Source organism: Homo sapiens, chromosome 11 (assembly GCF_000001405.40).
Source record: "Homo sapiens chromosome 11, GRCh38.p14 Primary Assembly".
NCBI lineage: Eukaryota > Metazoa > Chordata > Mammalia > Primates > Hominidae > Homo > Homo sapiens.
The window spans coordinates 34,423,765-34,443,859 of NC_000011.10; the positions used below are offsets into that span (position 1 = coordinate 34,423,765).

Consider the following 20,095-nt stretch of genomic DNA (forward strand, 5'->3'; position numbering starts at 1 on the left):
CTCCCTGTACTGTGGGCACATCAACATGATTGGGAGAGGTACCTCACTGGGGCGGTGAAAGCTTGTGGAGGTGATGGCAACTAAACGAGAGGAGGCAACAGTTGCCATGGTGACGATGGTGTGGTATTAGGAGAGATGCCAGGATGTGGTGGTGCCCCTGGCAGTAGAAACCTGGACTCCAAGTGAAGAGTCGAACCAACAGCTCTTGCAAGAATGGCTTTTCAGGCCAGACATGCCTGTAATCCTAGCACTTTGGGAGGCCAAGGTGGGTGGATCACCTGAAGTCAGGAGTTTGAGACCAGCCTGGCTAACATGGTGAAGCCCTGTCTCCACTAAAAATACAAAAATTAGCTGGGCATGGGGGTGGGTGCCTGTAATCCCAGCTACATGGGACGCTGAGGCATGAGAATCACTTGAATCCGGAGGTGGAGGTTGCAGTGAGCCAAGATGGTGTCACTGAACTTCAGCTTGGGTGACAGAGTAAGACACCATCTCAAAAAAAAAAAAAAAAAAAAAAAAGAATGGATTTTCAGTTTTCCCACTGCTGTTGTAACCAGGAAATCCAAAGCATTGGGATGGAGGTAGGGGCCAGTAGTGGTGGCTGGGACTCCAGGAATTACATCCAAAGAGGCCACATGTCTCTTAATGATCCCTGTGTACTCACATCCCTTCCATTGTCCTTGCCTCACACCTGGGATGGGGAAGCATTAGCTGGCACTTTCCAAACCCTACCCTTCTTTATACAGCTTTTAGGGGCTACAGTCACCTTTAGCTTTTTACACACATCATCCTTTATCTTTCTTGTTCACGTTCCTCTTTTTTAAAAAAGATATTTGATTAAGATCTTTAAGACCTGAAACCATAAAAATTCTAGAAGAAAACCTTGAAAAAACTCCTCTGGACATTGGTTAACATAAAAAATTTATGACTGACCCCAAAAGCAAATGCAACAAAAACGAAAAAGCTTCTGTACAGCAATAATAATAATAATAATCAGAGTAAACATACAATCCACAGAATGGGAGAGAATAGTTGCAAACCATGCATCCAACAAAGGATTTATATCCAGAATCGACAAGGAATTCAAACAAATCAGCAAGAAAAAAGCAAATAATCCCATCAAAAAGTGGGCAAAGAACATGAATAGACATTTCTCAAAAGAAGATATACAAATGGTCAACAAACATATTTTTAAAAAGTGCAACATTACTAATCATCGGGGAATGCAAATTAAAACCACAATGAGATATCACCTACCCCAGCCAAAATGGCTATTATTAAAAAGTCAAAAAACAACAGATGTTGGTAAGGATGTGGTGAAAAAGGAATTCTTATATGCTACTGGTGGGAATGTAAATTAATACAACCTCTACAGAAAAGAGTATGGAAGTTTCTTGAAAAACTAAAAGTAGATCTACTATTCAATCTGGCAATCCCACAACTGGCTATTTACTCAAAGGAAAAAAAAAGTCATTAAATCAAAAAGATACATGCATGTATATGTTTACTGCAGCACAATTCACAATTGCAAAGATACGGAATCAACCTAAATGCTCGTCAACTGATGAATGGATAAAGAAAATATGGTCTACATACACCATGGAATGCTACTCAGTCATAAAAAAGAACAAAAGAAGGTCTTCTGCAGGAAATTGGATGAAACTGGAGGCCATTATTCTAAGTGAAGTAACTCAAGAGTGGAAAACCAAATACCACATGTTTTCTCACTTGTAAGTGGGAGCTAAGCTATGTGTATGCAAGGACATACAGAGTGGTATAACGAACATTTGAGACTCAGAAGGGGGAGGGTGGAAGTGAAATGAGGGATGGCAAACTGCTTATTGGGTACAAAGAACACTACTTGGGTGATGGGTGCACTGAAAATTCAGACTTCACCACTATACAATTTATCCATGAAACCAAAAACCACTTGTACCCCTAAAGCTATTGAAAATATATATAAAATATTGAAAAAAAAATATATATAAAGGTCCTCAGTGCTTAAAAAAAATCAAGTGTTTTTTTAAAACTTGCCAGACAATGGAATATATTTTATAGAAAAAAGTCGATTGAGTAGTTTCACTGAGGGGGTACAAATCAGCGGTTGTTAACGGCCACAAATTAAGGATTGAAAACTAGCACTGTGGATAGAGAGGAAAGAGTCCACAGGCCTGTATGTTGGTTAAAACAAGTCCTGTGGTTCATTGGTCAATAAACAGTTTTCAGTTAGATTCTTTGAGGGTCTGGCATACCTGAATCACTCAAAATTTATGGTCCTAATCAGCCACAGCAAGTTAGAGCCAGTTATGATGAAACACAATGTTCAGTTTTACTGTTTCCTGAGTAAGTATTGCTCTAAAAATACTTCCTTTTATGCTTTACAATCAGAGCTGAATTTGCCAGTTGAGCATGAAGGTTTCTTGTAGCCAGGCCTCCTTCCCTCCACCTCTGGATAAATGTGCTTCTACTGAAGCTGCTATTTTTTGTTTATTTGTTGTTTTTGAGACAGGGTCTCACTCTGTCACCCAGGCTGGAGTGTAGTGGCACAATCACAGCTCACGGCAGCCTCAACCTCCTAGGCTCAAGCAATCCTCCCACCTTAGCCTCTGGAGTAACTGGGACTACAGGCGTGTGCAATGATGCTCAGCTAATTTTTAATTTTTTTTTTTAGAGACAGGGTCTCACTATGTTGCCCAGGCTGGTCTCAAACTCCTGGGCTCAAGCGATCCTCTAGCTTCTGCCTCCCAAAGTGTTGGGATTACAGGAGTGAGCCACTGTGCCTGGCCTGAAGCTATTTTAATCCATGCCTTATCCACTATTCTTTGGATTTTGCAAATTCCCTCCTTTTATTCTGGACAAACAGTACTTTCCTCCGAATTTCAGAACTGAGATCTAGTCTTGATCAATATGAGTTTTCTCTAATATCTTTGTTTCTTCTTTTTTTAAATTGACGAAGGTAGACTCTCTAATCTCAATGTTTATCTCTTTAGTTTCCTTCTAGGCCTTCCTTCACAGCCAGGTCCCCACAGTGAAATCTGTCCTTAGCCCGACTGTGCCATCTGGGGCTCTCTCAGGGAGACACTGGTTTTGCACTCCAGGTCATTGTTTCTTTTAGGTGCATAATAGCATAACATGATAGCACATCTGCATTTAATTATGATTCCGTCTTCCTGGCTCCACGTTCACAAATTTCTAAGCCTTTGGAGAGAAGGAATATTTGCTACAAACATTGGCTGCAGTGATGATGTTGTCATCTGCTTTTGATTTCCTAGATGTAGCCATAAACAGATGCAAAGTTTGGCTAAATGGTTGGGAGTGGAGTGTTTGGACCATCTGACAGGGTGTAGATAGGACTCTCCACATGTCTGCAGTCATAATTTTGTCCATTTTTTTTAAGTTTTTTGTCTTTAAAAATATGCCTCATCACTTCTTTTTCTTCCTACACTGAACTGGCACAGAATAAATAGAACCTTGACTTTGGTTTCACAATGTATGTGGTGGATTTCATAGACTTTTGTGTTTCATAACACAAAAATGTTTGACCTTTGCAAATGATTTCTTTTCATCTTTAGGTCACAGAGCTTTCGTGTTGATATATTTGAGAGGGGCAGAGAGTAATAACACAGGGTAATATGATGTAAGGAGGACAAATGCCTTTTTCTGTTACAAACCACACACCTCCTCTGCCTCCAGCCAGTGCAATGCTTTTGACCATAAACTTCGTTGAATCTGTCCATGTAGCCTAGAGTCAGCCACTGCTGAATCATTCTCCCAACTACAATGCTCCCTGGAGCGTTCATTACAGCACTCAAGAGTTTTGATGACTGGCACTTTTGGCATCTTTTTTTTTTTTTTTTTTTTTTTTTTTTTTTTGTCGTGGGCTTCAGCTGCCCCAGCTCCTTTCCAACACCCTACTTTCCCTTGCTCAAGGGTTACTTTAGGGTTGATGATTACTGAGGACACTCAACAGAAGCTCAGATGTTTGAGGAATGCAAGTTGTTATAAGATAAGGTGCTTTCTTGCACTTAGTTAACTTCAGACATCAAGACTTGTGTTGCTAGGGTTCTTGCTAACAGAACAATACACAGAATAATCTGTAAACTTAATAGCGCAAGAGATGGCATGTTCCAAACATCACCAAAGGCAGCCATAAAATCAGGGCCTATTTTGAAAATTGTGACTGATATTTATTAAACTAATGTCAACCAATTATACTGTCATAAAAAAGTCAGAAACGATGTTCATTGTCAAGTAATTCCTTATCTCAGGATAATAAAAGGCAAGCTTAGGGTACATTTTGTCAGATGACTTCAGGGTTTTATAAGTATTAACACATTAAATCTCATAATGTATAAGGGTTAAGAAAATAGTTTGGTCATTTCTCTGTGTAGCCTGTCTGGTTAACTGTTTATATATTCCTACTTTTTAACTTACTTATTTATTTATTGAGACAGGGTCTTGCTGTCTTGCCCAGGTTGGAGTGCAGTGAGCTATCATCAGTGGACTGATCAACCTCTACCTCCTGGGCTCAACTGATCCTCCCACCTCAACCTCCTGAGTAGCTGGCACTATAGGTGTGAACCACCATGCCCAGCTAATTTTTAATTTTTTTTGTAAAGATAAGGTCTCACTATGTTGCCCAGGCTGGTCTCGAACTCCTGGACTCAAGAGATCCTCCTGCTCCAACCTTCCAGAGGTCTGGACTTACAGGTGTGAGTTGCCACCCCAAGCTGTATTTCTTTCTTTCTTTTTAAGACAGGAGTCTTGCTCTGTTACCCAAGCTGGAGTGCAGTGGCATGATCTTGGCTCACTGCAACCTCCGCCTCCCAGGTTCAAGAGATTCTCCTGCCTCAGCCTCCTGAGTAGCTGGGATTACAGGCATGCAACACCATGCCTGGCTAATATTTTGTATTTTCAGTAGAGGCAGGATTTTGCCATGTTGCCCAGGCTGGTCTCGAACTCCTGAGCTCAGGCAATCCACCTGCCTCGGCCTCCCAAAGTGCTAGGATTACAGGTGTGAGCCACCTTGCCTGGCCCTAACCCGTATTTCTATCTTTTAATCTATGTAACTTCTCTGTGTCTCAATTTGTTTCTGTAAAAGTCACTGGGTCCAAGGCAAAACGGTGATGTAGGTGAAGTTTGAATTTAATGTCTTCCACTTCTTCCTCATCTTCATGTGGGGGTCCTCAGGTTGGGGTGAAGAAGTAACAAAAGTGAGAGTGTCCAGTTCTTGCTCTCAGCTACTGAATAACTTGTAATGAAGGTATTACCTGAGATGCTCATGTATGACTCACCCTAGGAATATACGTATACTTATTTGTAAATTTTTACTTTGATATAATACTAAGTTGCAGAAAGTTACAAAAATAGTATAAGTAACTCCAGTTTACCCTTTACCCAGATTTTGCTCTATTTATTTTGTCAAGTGCTTGCTCTCTTTACTTACATGTGTATATGGATATATATGATGTATATTTTTTTCTGGCCCATTTGAGAGTAAGTTGCAGACATCATGCCTCTTTACCACTAAATACTTCAATGTGTATTTTCTAAGACACAAAAGAAATCTCTGATGTAAGAGATTACATAACTGCAGTCTAATGATCAAAACAAGGAAATTTAACATTGATACAATATTCTTATTCATATTAAGTTTATGGCCCATATTAAATTTCATAAATTGTCTCCATAATGTTTCTGAAGTCTTTTCCGTCTGTTCCAAGACCCAGTCCAGGAACACTCTTCATACTTAGTTGGCATGTCTCCTTAGTCTTTTTTAAACTGGAACAGTTCTTTAGTCCTTAACTTCCATGATCTTGATATTTTGAAAAGGCCAGTTGTAGACTGTTCCTCAGTTGGAGTTTGTCTCATGTTTCCTCATGATTAGATTCAGAGTATGCATTTTTGATAGGAATGCCACAGAAGCGATGTTGAGTCCTTCCTGGTGTACCATGTCAGAAGGTTCATAATGGGGGTAATATATCTATTTTTTTTTTTTTGAGACAGAGTTTCACTCTTGTTGCCCAGGCTGGAGTGCAATGGCATGATCTTGGCTCACTGAAACCTCCACCTCCCTGGTTCAAGAGATTCTCCTGCCTCAGCCTCCCGAGTAGCAGGGATTACAGGTGCATGTCACCATGCCTGGCTAATTTCGTACTTTTAGTAGAGATGAGGTTTCTCCATGTTGATCAGGCTGGTCTCGAACTCCTGACCTCAGGTGATCTGCCCACCTCAGCCTCCCAAAGTGCTGGGATTACAGGCATGAGCCACTGCACCCGGCAATATATCTATTTTTTAAAAGAGGACTCTTTTTGAGAATATGGGAAAGTACTCAAGTCCTAAAGGAAAATATATTTAAAAATGAAATGGGAGGGTATCTGTATTTGAGCCAGGCATCTGATCAAATTCTCCCTCAAATCCCTCAAGGCAAATTGTCACTTACTCTGGTTATTTGTAACATGGTTTATCCCGGTATTACCTCATCTATTAATTCACTTGCTTGTTCATTCATTTAGTCAAATATCCTGGGTGCCAGAAAACTGTTGCAGGTGCTAAGAATAAGCAGAAAATTCAAAACCAGAAACAAAACCCACCAATCCTCATGGACTTCTATTCTAGTAGGAGAAATACCCAATAAACAAATGAAATCGGTTATATAGTATGTTAAAAGGGAGAAGGATCACAGAGAAAACACAAAGCAGGGAAGGCATGACAGGAAGTGCCAGAGGAAGCTATAAGATTAAAAGAAGTGGTCAAGAAAGGTCTTCCTGAGAAGACAACATGGTAAACTACAGGCCCCCAAGCTGAGCCACGTGGCTTCTGGCTTCTTTTGAGGATGCAGAGTTTAAAAGGGCATTAAGAGAAAGATGATACAAATCCTAATATTGTATCATCTATAATTTGCCCATCGAGTAAGTTGTTTCACACCTCAGGGGCCAGCCAGACAAGAGAAAGGCAACGGTGATTGTTATTCATTGACATTTAGAATATTGGGTGGGATGGGATTGGGAAAAATCCCAGTACAAAGTTTCAGAGAATTAAGCTAGTGCTTGCTAAGTAGTTCGTTTATGTTGCTTACAGAGCTAGCCACTGCTTTCCCCAGCTCTGGCTCAAGGATGGGGAAATCCTCTGACAATGTCATGTGCAAGAAGGATGTTCATCTTGCCTCCAAATCCAGTATCAAAAAAGTATGAATGGGCCGGGTGTGGTGGCTCATGCCTGTAATCCCAGCAGTTTGGGAGGCTGAGGCCGGCGGATCACTTGAGGCCAGGAGTTCGAGACCAGCCTGGCCAACATGACGAAACCTCCTCTCTTATAAAAATACAAAAATTAGCCGTGTGTCTGTGGTCCCAGCTACTGAGGAGGCTAGACAGGAGAATCACTTGAACCCGAGAACGGAGGTTGCAGTGAGCGGAGATGGCGCCACTGCACTCCAGCTTGGGCGAGAGAGTGAGACTTTTATCTCAAAAAAAAAAAAAGTATGAATGGCAGAACAGAAAATATATGATAAGAAGAAACAAGAAGAATGAAGGCAGCAGTATCTTAAAGAACAATAATCATATGAAAATAGATTGCTTATGGGAGATGAATGTGTAAAGAATGGCCTTAATTTCATTTGTGAGGCCCCACCAGGAGCTAAAAAAGGAAACAGAGAAAAAAGAAAACAGGAGAGAATGAAGACAAATTTAAATGGCAGAAAGAAGCTCCATGAGAAAAATATGCCAAAGATCACATAAACAAAAAAAATTAGCCCTTTGATATTCAGGTTAGAAATATGAACTGCATTAAATGTCACAAATGGGATCATGTCACTGCAGATTGAGACTGTCCTTTGTTTGGTCTTTCTGGAATCAATGCAAGTTCAGTTCCCACTGATGAGGCAGGTAGGCACTAGACATGATTTATTTGTTTCAGAATTTATATAGAGGACAAACAAGGAAATAAAATAACGTTTCTCTTTATTTTCTCAGTTAAAAAAAAAGAAGTAAATAGATCTTCATTTTCAGGTTGCCTGGAGCAATTGCTTTCCACATCTGACACAAGAAGGAGAATTTTGCTTCATGTCACAGTGTCTCAGAACTGAATCTGTTTATGTCCACGTATCCTGGAACAGGAGCTGCATATAAGATGATACAGGGCAACAGGTCCTCTTGCTTGGTGGAAAATGATTCTTTGAATGAACTTGTTTAGCTAAGTCTCTGCCTGCCCTTTGCTGTCAGGAAGGAGAGGCAGCTAGAGATCTTCCTCCTCCTCCTTCATCCTTGCTGCTCTGCAAGCTGCCTCTTCTCCAGCACTCTCATTCCTGCCTTTGGCTGTTCCTCAATCCCATGTGGCTCTCTAGGCCTGTCATGCTCTTATATTACAAATCCATAACAACTTCCCATTTTTTGTCTTTTAAAGACTGAGAAGAATGTCATTTTCTTGTGGTTCTTCTCAACTATGTGGGTACAAAACATGGATTTCACAATTGCTTTACTCAGGGTGCTTCCCGTAACACCGCGTCTTCAGGTGGGCAGAGGGTAGTGCAATGCTGGAGTTAAATTCTAAGAATGTAGAACACTCACTCAAGATCTTCCTTTATTCCTGCCCACTTTGTCACAGGCAGAACAACGTAGGAGTGGAGATGTGATCTCCAGAGCCACACTGTCTCGTTCGAATCCTGGCCCCATTGCAAACTATCTGGGTAACTTCGGGAGGTTACTTAACCTTTCTGTACCTTAGTGCCCTCAGATGTAAAGTGAAGGTAGTAAGAGTCCATTCCCTCTTATAGGATTGTTATAAGGATTAGATGGGTTAATATTGGAAAATCCCTCAGTGTAGAGCCTAGACATAGTAAGAGCAATATTAAGTGTTTGTCAATTAAACAAAATATGTTTTGAAAGGATGGTTTTGTGGGATAGGAAGGTTTGGTTTAGGGCAGTGGTTGGCCTTTGTTCATCATAATGTGACCTTGGAGCCAAACTTCAGTGTCCAGAGGCAGTCTCTGAACTACAGCACATCCCGCAAGGATGAGTATAATAGTATATCCTACAACAAAGTTTGCTGTATTTTCTGAACAGCGTTGCAACTCATACAAGAGCTACATGGCACTCCAGAATAAATAGAAATACTAATAATCAGATAATACAGATAACTAACTCATATGGTTCATATAATCTTCCCTAAACCTCCAACTACCCTTGGAGGTCAGTGTGGCCGGTGCTGCTGATCAGCCACCGATATTCACTTCCCTTTTCTTTTATAATAGAATGCCTGAGTTTTGTCAAGCCCATGGCCACCCAGCCAGTGACTACATTTCCCGGTTTCCTGTATAGCTAGGCATAGCCATGTGACGAAATTCTGGCCAATGGAATGTGAGTAGAAATAAAGTGTGCTATTTCCAAATTGTGCCCTAAAAAGGAAAGGACATGGGCTCCCTTTGCTCCTTTGTCCCCCTTCCCACTGGCTGGCATGCAGTTATGATCAAGTGAGCAGCTACATTGGACTCAGAGATGGAAGCTATGTATTGAGGATGGCAGAGTTGCCTAACCAGCCCTGTACCATTTAGGTCTGAAATGCTTTATTGTGAGAGAAATAAGCTTTGATCTTGTCTATGCTATTTTGTTGGTTTTTTGGGAGGCTCTTTTTGTTATAGAAGCTTGGGTGATACCTAATATAGAAGGTGTTACTATCTCCATTTTACAAAAGCAACATGGTAGCTTAGAAAAATTAAGTGACTTGCCCAAGTTCACACAGTTTGTAAATGGCCATGGTGGGATTTGACCCCAAGTGCTCTGATGCTAGCGCTGGGGCTGTTAACCATGTACCATGCTATTTTTTCTCTTGAGCCCTACTAGGTAATGATCTGGGTTTATGGTAAAGAAAGGGAGAAGAGAGCTACCTGTTCCGTTCCCCCTAGTTGACCATTCCTAGCTATGACCAATGGTTCCACCCAAACATGTATACTTCATAACTATTCATTTCTCCACAGATGCATAATTGTGTGTGCTCTCAGTCCATAATGAATGTGTTGATTGTCTATGAGGTTTGACTTTTTATTTTTATTGTCAGAGTACAAGAACCCATGTCTGGTTTCTGCAAACAGACTTAAACCCAAGGTCAAGCCCAGGTGCAACATTTAAAGCATAAACAAGGGAGGCAAGCAAAATACCTCTGAGAGAGCAGCACTGGAAAAATAACTTCAATCCAAGCATGTGAATCCCAGTAGTTAAACATGACTGGTTGACCCAGGCCTTGCAGGAGCCCAGAGGCAAGGAGGGAATGTGGGTGAGCCGCAGGAGCTTAAGCTAGTCAAAGTCAAGTTCAGAGGCCAGTGGACCTGCACAAACTTGAAAAAGGCTCAACACCTGTTGTAAATATTTGCTTGCTACTGAGTCCTACTCAAGCCATCTCCATATCACCATGAATGAAGTCAGACTTTTAGGGAAAAGTGGTTAACAATCTGGATTTCTGCGGTAGCAGGGTGGATCATATAATGCTTACTCCTGACACCACGCCTGACACCTATTCAGTTTCTCAGCTTTACTCAAAGCCTCCATGACTTAGCAGGTTCAGGTTAGGCGACCTTCTTAGGTAATCCTAATAACAGCTGGCCTTCCCTTCTCTCAGCACTTTTTCCCCGTGTTATTGTCTGATTATTTGTCTATGTCCACGTCCTTTGCTGTTGTACTCCCAGAGCCCAATAGGCAGGGGGCCCAGGACACAGCAGACATCCAGTATATTGGATGACTCCCATGGGTTAGTGGTTATGGCTGAACATAACATGAGAGGCCTTCTCTCTCAGAAGAATGTGATGAAATATGCAATTGATGAACATCCAGAATCCAGATATTCACCTGTCTTGAAAATTGCACTTCCAATCCACACTCTCAGTGCCTGTGACAGTATAAACTAGCTCGAGCATTGCAGAAAACAATCAACAACATGTCACAAGAACCTTAAAAAGTTCAAATGACTTGAACCAAAAATGACCTCTGAAAACAGGTCCTAAGGAAATAAATACAAATGTAGAGGAAGGATGTCACTGTACTGTTATAGAAGAAAACAATTTAAATGTTCTCAGTAAAGGAGTATGTAAATAAAGGAATAGTCCTTTGATTGCAAATTGTGTAGGCATAGGAGAAAAATATCACATTTTGGAAAAAGATTTAATGACTTGGAAAAAGTTTTATCTGATAATGTTAGGTGGAAAAAGCAGGATATAAGATTATGTATTCTATAGGATCCATTGTAAAACTCTCTCTCACACACACACACACACTCCTTTACAAACATATAAGAGAGAAAATATTGGTAAAAATGTTACCTGTTTATCGTAATCTTTGAATGATTGTTTGATATTTTATCCTGCATTTTCCAAGCCTCCATTAGTAAGTATAAAAAATAAGTTAAGGGCCGGGCGAGGTGGCTCACGTCTGTAATCCCAGCACTTTGGGAGGCCGAGGTGGGTGGATCACGAGGTCAGGAGATCGAGACCATCCTGGCTAACACGGTGAAACCCCGTCTCTACTAAAAACACAAAAAAATTAGCTGGGTGTGGTGGCGGGCGCCTGTAGTCCCAGCTACTCGGGAGGCTGAGGCAGGAGAATGGCATGAACCCAAGAGGCAGAGCTTGCAGTGAGCCGAGATCTTGCCGCTGCACTCCAGCCTGGGTGACAGAGCGAGACTTCGTCTCAAAAAAAAAAGAAAAAAAAGTGAAGGTAAAAACAAATTCCCAATTATTATTTCTATGTTTCTTCTGTTTTTTGTTTTGTTTTGTTTTTGAGACGGAGTCTTGCTCTGTCACCCGGGCTGGAGTGCAGTGGCATGACCCCGGCTCACTGCAACCTCTGCCACCTGGGTTCAAGCGATTCTCCTGCCTCAGCCTCACGTGCAGCTGGGACTACAGGCAAGAGCCACCACGCCCAGCTAATTTTTGTATTTTTAGCAGAGACAGGGTTTTGCCATGTTGACCAGGCTGGTCTTGAACTCCTGACCTCAAGAGATCCACCTGTCTTGGCCTCCCAAAGTGCTGGGATTACAGGCATGAGCCACCAGGCCTGGCCTATGTTTCCTTTTTTTGCAAACACCAGATCAGTAGCGTGGCACGTAAGGCCGAGGCGGGAAAAGGCACATCCATGTTCTTCTCCTTAGCATAGCTCATGCTATGGCCATCACCAGACACCAGAGGACATCTGGGTTGCCTCCTCCCAAGTAGGCAATTATTCATATTAAAGCGGGAAAGATATGGTGCAGCCAAATAGGCAGAGCAGAAGGTATGTGCTGCTACTGCATATAACACCACTGCTACTTTTTAAAGCAAATCCCACCTTCTTCTTTGGCTTGCTCAAGCCTGTTCCACAGTGAACAGGAGTCATGGAGCTGTGGTGATGTTTATTCTCTTCTCTTAAAGCCAACAGCCAATACTGAATTGTAACTCTCTTTGTTTCTTGTTGTGTTCTTTTCTCTTCCTTTTTGCCTAACTCTGAATTTACCTCACAAGGCCACTGTGAAGAGAATGAAACTGAAATATGTAGAACATTCTCGGCCTCTCTGAGGATGGGTGGAATCAGAACAGAGTAATTACCCCTTGTGCTGTCTTGTATGCCTGTCATCCAACAACACATGATGTTCATTCTCTCCATTCTTTTCTTGCAATACTGATGAAATAAAATTTGTCTATAAAGATTCCTAGCTGAGTACTCAAATGTTTTTCTTGAACATTTGTTACATGGTCTACTTTGCAAGCTTGGTTTCAAATTTGTTGATACCAGGATTAATAACAGTATGTCTTGTGCCAGTATATTTTATTTTCATTGAGTTCTGAAAATTGACTTCAGAGAACAGCATTTTTAAAATAACATTTTTATTTATATCAATAAAAATACCCATGAATTCATATGACTAAAATATTAAAACCTAGAACCCAATTTGTTTACCTAACCAATCACTTGCAATTACCTTTAGGTAATTGTATTGGTTTGGTTTCAAGTATTTTTTAACTAGGGCTGATTTTAAGAAGTGTTTTCATTTAAGCTGTAATTATAGTCGATAGAACTTCCACCTAATATGTGACTTTTTTTAATTTTTAATTTTTTTGAGATGAAGCCTCACTCTGTCACCCAGGCTGGAGTGCAGTGGCACAATCTTGGCTCACTGCAACCTCCGCCTCTTGGGTTCAAGTGATTCTCTCGCCTCAGCCACCTGAGTAGCTGAGACTACAGGCGTGTGCCACCACGCCCAGCTAATTTTTGTATTTTTAGCAGAGGTGGGGTTTTACCATGTTGGCCAGACTGGTCTCGAACTTCTGGCCACAAGTGATCCGCCTGCCTCGGCCTCCCAAGGTGCTGGGATTACAGGCGTGAGCCCCCGCACCCAGCCTCCTATGTAACATTATAAATTTATTGTCATTACTTGTAAGCCTGCCCTTTATTTTAAAATACAAGATATGACAAGATCAGAAACCAGTCTTGTTTCTCCATTTCTTTCTCTAGAAATAATTCTTTAGGAATTCAAATCCATAGTAACAAAAACAAAGGAAAAAAAAACATGCTTTTTTTTATATAATGAATAAAGGTTAAGAAATGACTCCAGGTCTCTTATTTATTTTGTTGATATTTGTGTTGGTTAGTTAAGAAGATGATTTGCTCGATTATTTCAACATTTATTTATTCAACAAACTGTGGACTTTGGAGATGAACAGCTGAAGCTAGAATCCTGACTATCCCTTAATAGCTGTGTAACTTTGGGCAAGTTATTTAACCTCCCTATACCTCTGTTTCCTAATCTGTAAAATGAAGATAATATTAGTATCTAACTCATAGGGTTGTTGGGAGGGTTAACTAAGCAAATATACAAAAAGCTGAGAATAGTCCCTGGTATATAGTAAGTGCTCAATAAATTATGGATGGGAGGATCCTGACCCACATGGAGTTTACAGTCTTGGCAGTATGGATCGGGCAGGTAGAAAAAGACACCAAATTACACAGCCAACAGCATCTTTATAATTGTTTTTAATATAGGAAAAGTATAGGGTGCTAAAGATCAATTTGTGGCTTTCTTTTCCAATGAACTGCTAAAGTTCCACTTTTATGCCCAAGATTCTTATCATACTTTTGTAAGATCAAGAACAACATGTGAAGTTTCCACTATTATATATCCACCCATTATATGTAGTTGTACTGGAAAAAATTAAAAGCTGATAACTTTTAATTTGAAGATGATGGTATATACTATGTATATATATTAAGGTGCTTAAAGATAAATCCTAGCACCTGAGGAGGTGTAGAAATCATTCAAACTCTTTGATTACAATGACAAACTAGTCAGTAACTTACTAAATATTGTACTATATATTACTAAGTATTTTACTCTTCAACATAGCTTTTTAAAGACACAAAGCTTTTCAAAATTCCTGCTTACCTGGGGGTAAAATTTGGGGAAGCAGATTTCTCCAGTGTTTAAAGAAGCCAATTTGGCAGTGTACCAGAGTTGAATACATTTTTCCCATCACAAGGGAATACATTTTTCCCATCTAAGTTAAGTTGTTTTTCTCTGGTAAAGGAGGAAATCAACACCCATCTGTACGGAGATAAACGTTTCAGAGTGTTTTTATATTAAATAATTAGTATACTAGTCTAGTAAGTGATAATCCACGAATAAGTTAAGAAGAGCTAAGAAAGAAAAAGAAAAGCATCCATCCATCCTTTGGTTGCAAATAATACTTACATTAGCGTATGGCAAAATTTAATTTTGTACAGAGTAATTTAACCCAGGATTGCTGACTTTTTAAGAGCTGAGAAAGCATAGCTATGGAGCGCAAGGCCCCACCCAGCAGGGTCTAAGTATTCCGTCTGCAAAACTGGCAGGCCACCAACGGCCGCGTCCCAGGGCGGCCTGAAGGATGCTGATAACCGGGAGCCCCGCCCTGGGTTCGGCTATCCCGGGCACCCCGGGCCGGCGGGGCGAGGCTCTCCAATTGCTGGGCCAGAGCGGGACCCTTCCTTTCCGCACCCTCCTGGGTATCTCCGGTCTTCAGGCCTCCTTCGGAGAGCCCTGCTCCGAGCCCATTGGGCTTCCAATCTTGGCCTGCCTAGCGCCGAGCAGCCAATCAGAAGGCAGTCCTCCCGAGGGGGCGGGACGAGGGGGTGGTGCTGATTGGCTGAGCCTGAAGTCGCCACGGACTCGGGGCAACAGGCAGATTTGCCTGCTGAGGGTGGAGACCCACGAGCCGAGGCCTCCTGCAGTGTTCTGCACAGCAAACCGCACGCTATGGCTGACAGCCGGGATCCCGCCAGCGACCAGATGCAGCACTGGAAGGAGCAGCGGGCCGCGCAGGTACACTCTGTGCTCCCCGAGCGGGCCCGAAGGTCCGTTTAGAAAGCGGGGGCGTCGGCAAGTAAAGGCCCGGCTTCCCCCGGGGCGGCGCTTGGAGGGACTGTACCGCGGCTCACTGGGCAGGGGGGATCCCCTTCGGTGCAGACGGACTTTTACATTCGCCGAAGCAGGGGAGGGGGGTCCGGGTAGTGGGGCGCGGGACTGCAGGCTTTGTTGTCCGCGACAGGCTCGGGTGGTTGCTTCAGAATTTTGCACTTTTGCCAACTGGGACAGAGGTCGCAGCTTGAGGACAGATTGAGGGCTCATGGGGAAAGAGGCAGAGAGCTGCAGCTGCAAGGAAGTCAGTGAGGGGAGAAGTGGAACCAGGCTCTAATGGTGCCCTTCTTGAAATACTGTTTACACGCTTTCATAGTTGTGGGGTCCCAGCAGGGCAGGGATTGTGTTTTACAATCTTGAGGTCTCCAGCACCAGTCACAGTGACTGGTACGTACTATGCACATTATTAAACGACTAAATAAAAGAACTTTTACATTCATTGTCTCATTTGCACTTCAAAATGTCAAGCCTAGCATTTTAGAGCTGGGGGGTGACATTAGGGATTGATTAATGCGTTTATTCTATTCTTTGAGCACCTGTAGGTGCTAGGCACTGTTCGGGGCAAGGTGTACAAATTCCAGTGCGGCAAGAACAACACCCTTGAGAAGCTGAGAGTCTAGTCTGGGAGACGAGACACATAAACAGATGATTACACTCCAGCGTGGTGAGGGCTCTAATAGAGGTTATCTGTAGAATGTAGAGGGAGTGACCAGGTGGGCCGGACAAAGCAGGTGACATTTGAACAGGAATTTTTTTAAATGAGTAGGATTTTAACTTGGTGGTGGGGGAGGCATTCCTGGCCTGTGCCCACGGCTGCAGAGTCTCAGAGGGCATCTATGAGGAGGTTGGATTAGATGAGACCACATCTGGTCTGAGTCTACTGTTGGCAGATTGGCCCAGGGAGTCTAAAGGTCTTGCCCTGTTCCCTGGCTGCTGGTTAATGGTAGACAGAGGACTGCAGCCCTGTTTTCCCTATTCTGCCTAGTGCTCTTGCTCAAAACTCAGGTTCGTGAACTGGGGTATTAATGCTAAGTGCTCATGGATTGCTTTAATGGTTCCCTGTTTGGGAAAAGGCTGCCATTCTCCTCCAAGGGCCTGGAAAATCTCCCCTCTTGGCCCTGTTCTTTGTTATATACCATTAGGTTGGTTCATGAGCTCTTAAAGTAAACCAGAGAGAGGTAGAGTCTTAGTAAAGGATGTGCCACTACTTAGTGGCAGAGACAAGGTTAGAATTCAGCTTCTTGGACCCAAGACTCTTTCCTTACCCAGTGGGTGCAAATCCTGGTTCACACTGAAGTTTTCATGAATACTCGGTGAATTGAGAAAAGTGTGGACAAAGTAGTGAGATTTTTACAAAACAAAATATTTTCTTTTTCTTTTTCTTTTCTTTTCTTTTTTTTTTTTTGAGACGGAGTCTTGCTCTGTTGCCCAGGCTGGAGTGCAGTGGTATGATCTCCACTCACTGCAAACTCCGCCTCCCGGATTCAAGCAATTCTCCTGCCTCAGCCTCCCGAGTAGCTGGGATTACAGGTGTCCACCACCACACCCAGCTAATTTTTGTATTTTTAGTAGAGATGGGGTTTCACCATGTTGGCCAGGCTGGACTGGAACTCCTGACCTCAGGAGATCTGCCCGCCTTGGCCTCCCAAAGTACCGAGATTACAGGTGTAATATTTTCATTTTTAAAGGACTCCCCTTTATTCTGAGACTAGCTGCCTTCTTCCTTGTTTGGGAGAATCATGAACTGTTGAAGTCCCTGCTGTTGATTTACCTTACATAGTTGCCCATGTGAGAAATGGCTGACTCCAAAACACATCTATAGTTGGGAGGCTCTTAATTGAAATACAGCCATCCCCTTTGTCCATGACATCTCAGGGCACTGTGTACATCGTCCTGATTGGCAGTCACATTGATGTCTTACTGTTCCTCAGTTTTAGCTGCTCTTAGTAAAAACCGCTTACTTCTTTTAGGCACTTCTCCCTCCACCCAGGGCCCTCCAAAAGGAATTATGCATATGCCTTATAGCCTATATAATTTTCAAACACTTTTTTTAAATGAAAAATTTCAAATATTCAGAAAAGTTGAAAAAATTTTGCAGTGTATATCTATATATCTGCCATCTAGATTCTACAAGGAACATTTTGCCCTGTGTCTTTTATTACGTTACTCCATCTGTCTGTCCATCCTTTAATTCATTCAAGTTGTTTCATGTATTAGCAGTTTGTTCTTTTCATTGCTGAGTAAGATTCCATTATTTGAATATACCACCATTTGGATATCCTGTTGCTGGACACCTGGGCTATTTAATTTTTTTTCTATTGTAAGTAAAGCTGCTGTGGCTGGGCATGAAGGCTTATGCCTATAACCCTACCACTTTTGGAGGCTGAGGTGGGAGGATAGTTTGAGCTCAGGAGTTGAGACCAGCCTAAGCAACATGGTGAAAACCCATCTCTACAACAAATAAAAGAAGTAGCCAGACATGGTGACACATGCCTGTAGTCCCAGCTACTCGGGAAGTTGAGTTGGGAGGATTGCTTGAGCTTGGGGTGTGGAGGCTGCAGTGAGCCATGATTACATGACTGCACTCTAGCCTGGGTGACAGAGGGAGACCCTGTCTTAAAAATTAAAAATAAATAAAGCTGCTATAAAAATTCTTACATAAGTCTTTTTGTGCACAGGTGGTTTTATTTCTCTTAGGAAATACCTAGGAGTAGATTTATTGGGTCATAAGGTAAGTGAATGTGTTATGAGAAACTGCTGAGCCTTTTTCCAAAGTGGTTGTACCATTTTATACTTCATCAGCAGTGTATGGGAGTTCCAGTTGCTCCACATCCTACCAACTTTTGGTGTTGTCAGTCTTTTACATTTAGTTGTTGGGTGTGCAGTGGTATCTCATTATGGTTTTAATTTGCTTTGCTCTGATGACTAATGATGCAAAGCATCTTTTTACATGCTTATTGACCATTGGTATATATTCCTTTGAAGTATATGTTCAAATTTTCTGTCTTTTTAAAAATTGAATTGCTTTTAAATTATTAATTCATAGCCCATATTTTAAGTTCAATCATGTGGAATCATGTGTAGGCTAAGTGTTATAATAATAAATCTCAACATGTATCATGGTATAAACATATTAGAAATTTATGGCCGGGTGCAGTGACTCACACCTATAATCCAGCACTTTGGGAGGCTGAGGTGGGCGGATCACCTGAGGTCAGGAGTTCAAAACTAGCCTGACCAATATGGAGAAACCCTGTCTCTACTAAAAATACAAAATTAGCTGGGCGTGGTGGCACATGCCTGTAATCCCAGCTGCTTGGGAGGCTGAGGCAGGATAATCACTTGAACCCTGGAGGCGGAGGTTGCAGTAAGCCGAGATCCTGCCATTGCACTCCAGCCTGGGCAACAAGAGTGAAACTCCATCTCAAAAAGAAAAAAAAAGAAATGTATTCCTTTCCTACATGAATGGCCCAAAGTGGTTTGAGGTTGAAGGAGGTGGGTGGGTGCTCTGCTTCCCACAGTTATTGAGGGCACCAGGCTGAAGGAAGCTCCCCCTTGGTCAAACATGGCTTTTATGGGCGTCACTGTCCAGCACAGAAGGCTCAAGAGCGTGGAGAAGGGTATATGAGTGTGGGAAGGTTTAGGGTCCAGGGTCACTGCCACTTACATTCTGTTGGCTAGAACTCTGTTACAGGCCACACCTGGGGTAGTCTACCCCCTGTCCAGGAAGCTGACTCTACTATATTATCCAAAGCGTACATTTCATATTTGGTGAAAATCTGTCCAGCCATTTTCTTGTGATGCGGCAATGGACATGCAACATAATTTCTTTTTAAAGAATATGTCATTTTTACTTTCTGACATTAAGATATTCTGTTAGAAAATTATGACAGTAACAGATGGTATTAAAAAAAAATCTCCCCTTGCTTGGTAAATGCTTTTATCTAAGTGGGCAGCTTTGTGCTAATATGATGTCTTCCACTTCCCAATTAGTTGTGATGCTTTACTGATCTAGGAGAGCTTTATGGTTTGGGACTACTATAGGCGAACACTCTGTTGCCTCCTCTCTCAAGAATCAGAGTGTCCTATTTTGGAAACACAGTCAACCATGTGAAAGCAATTTATTGGGCGTATCTTCTGTGGTCAGATTTGGTTTGCTGACAGGTGAATTGGGAGTTTTGTAAACTTTAATAAGTGAGCATTGAGTCAGATGTGTTCATGAGTATGACCTCGATCCACTTAAAAATTCTTATTTCTTTTTCTCTCTTGGCAGGAGGGAGGTGGTTGTGCAGGTATTCCCAGCCACTTTGAAGGGAACTTAAATGGGAACTTTATTGCTCACTGCTTAGAATGCCATGGGCTCTTCTTTTGAGATACTTACCTTTAACCCATTTCCTTTTTTTTTTTTTAAGTGCAGCTTGCTGCCAGTGCTCTTTTCTTGGGGGTAAATGGGAAATGTTAATAAGTAGCCTCTGATCCCTTTAAAATGGGAGAATTTGAACATTTCAAACCTTACCTTTTTATACAGTTCTCTTATTACCTGGGAGAGAGGTTAAGTCTTAGACTATCCATTTCTGTCAGTGAGTTGCCTATGCATTATAGCCTGTGAGGGTCTATATTTTTTTAGGGTAATCCTGGTAATAACTGCATTGATGTTACACTGCTAACATTTGGGATGGAGAAG

General features: G+C 42.0%; 1 protein-coding gene, 1 long non-coding RNA gene and 1 pseudogene across 2 annotated transcripts in view, besides 2 other annotated features; all 3 read left to right on the forward strand.

The window, feature by feature from the left end:
- CIR1P3 (CIR1 pseudogene 3) lies at window positions 7,059–7,884 on the forward strand (annotated as a pseudogene).
- Window positions 8,525–12,558, forward strand: LOC105376622 (uncharacterized). Its single transcript, XR_931180.3, has 3 exons — window positions 8,525–8,683; window positions 9,248–9,353; window positions 12,482–12,558. It is a non-coding gene; the product is annotated as an uncharacterized LOC105376622 (long non-coding RNA).
- Window positions 14,983–15,032: an enhancer, noted in NCBI's record as "active region_4603". NCBI's record gives its function as "activates an Ori minimal core promoter by ATAC-STARR-seq in GM12878 lymphoblastoid cells {active_cell/tissue: GM12878}" and the evidence as "EXISTENCE:reporter gene assay evidence [ECO:0000049][PMID:35858748]".
- Window positions 15,170–20,095, forward strand: part of CAT (catalase) — a 33,127-nt gene continuing 28,201 nt past the window's right edge. Inside the window, exon 1 of the mRNA NM_001752.4 lies at window positions 15,170–15,315. Coding sequence (NP_001743.1) covers window positions 15,250–15,315 — 66 coding nt within the window. The 5' untranslated portion in view covers window positions 15,170–15,249. The remainder of the gene's footprint in view (window positions 15,316–20,095) is intronic.
- Window positions 15,203–15,502: an enhancer, noted in NCBI's record as "active region_4604". NCBI's record gives its function as "activates an Ori minimal core promoter by ATAC-STARR-seq in GM12878 lymphoblastoid cells {active_cell/tissue: GM12878}" and the evidence as "EXISTENCE:reporter gene assay evidence [ECO:0000049][PMID:35858748]".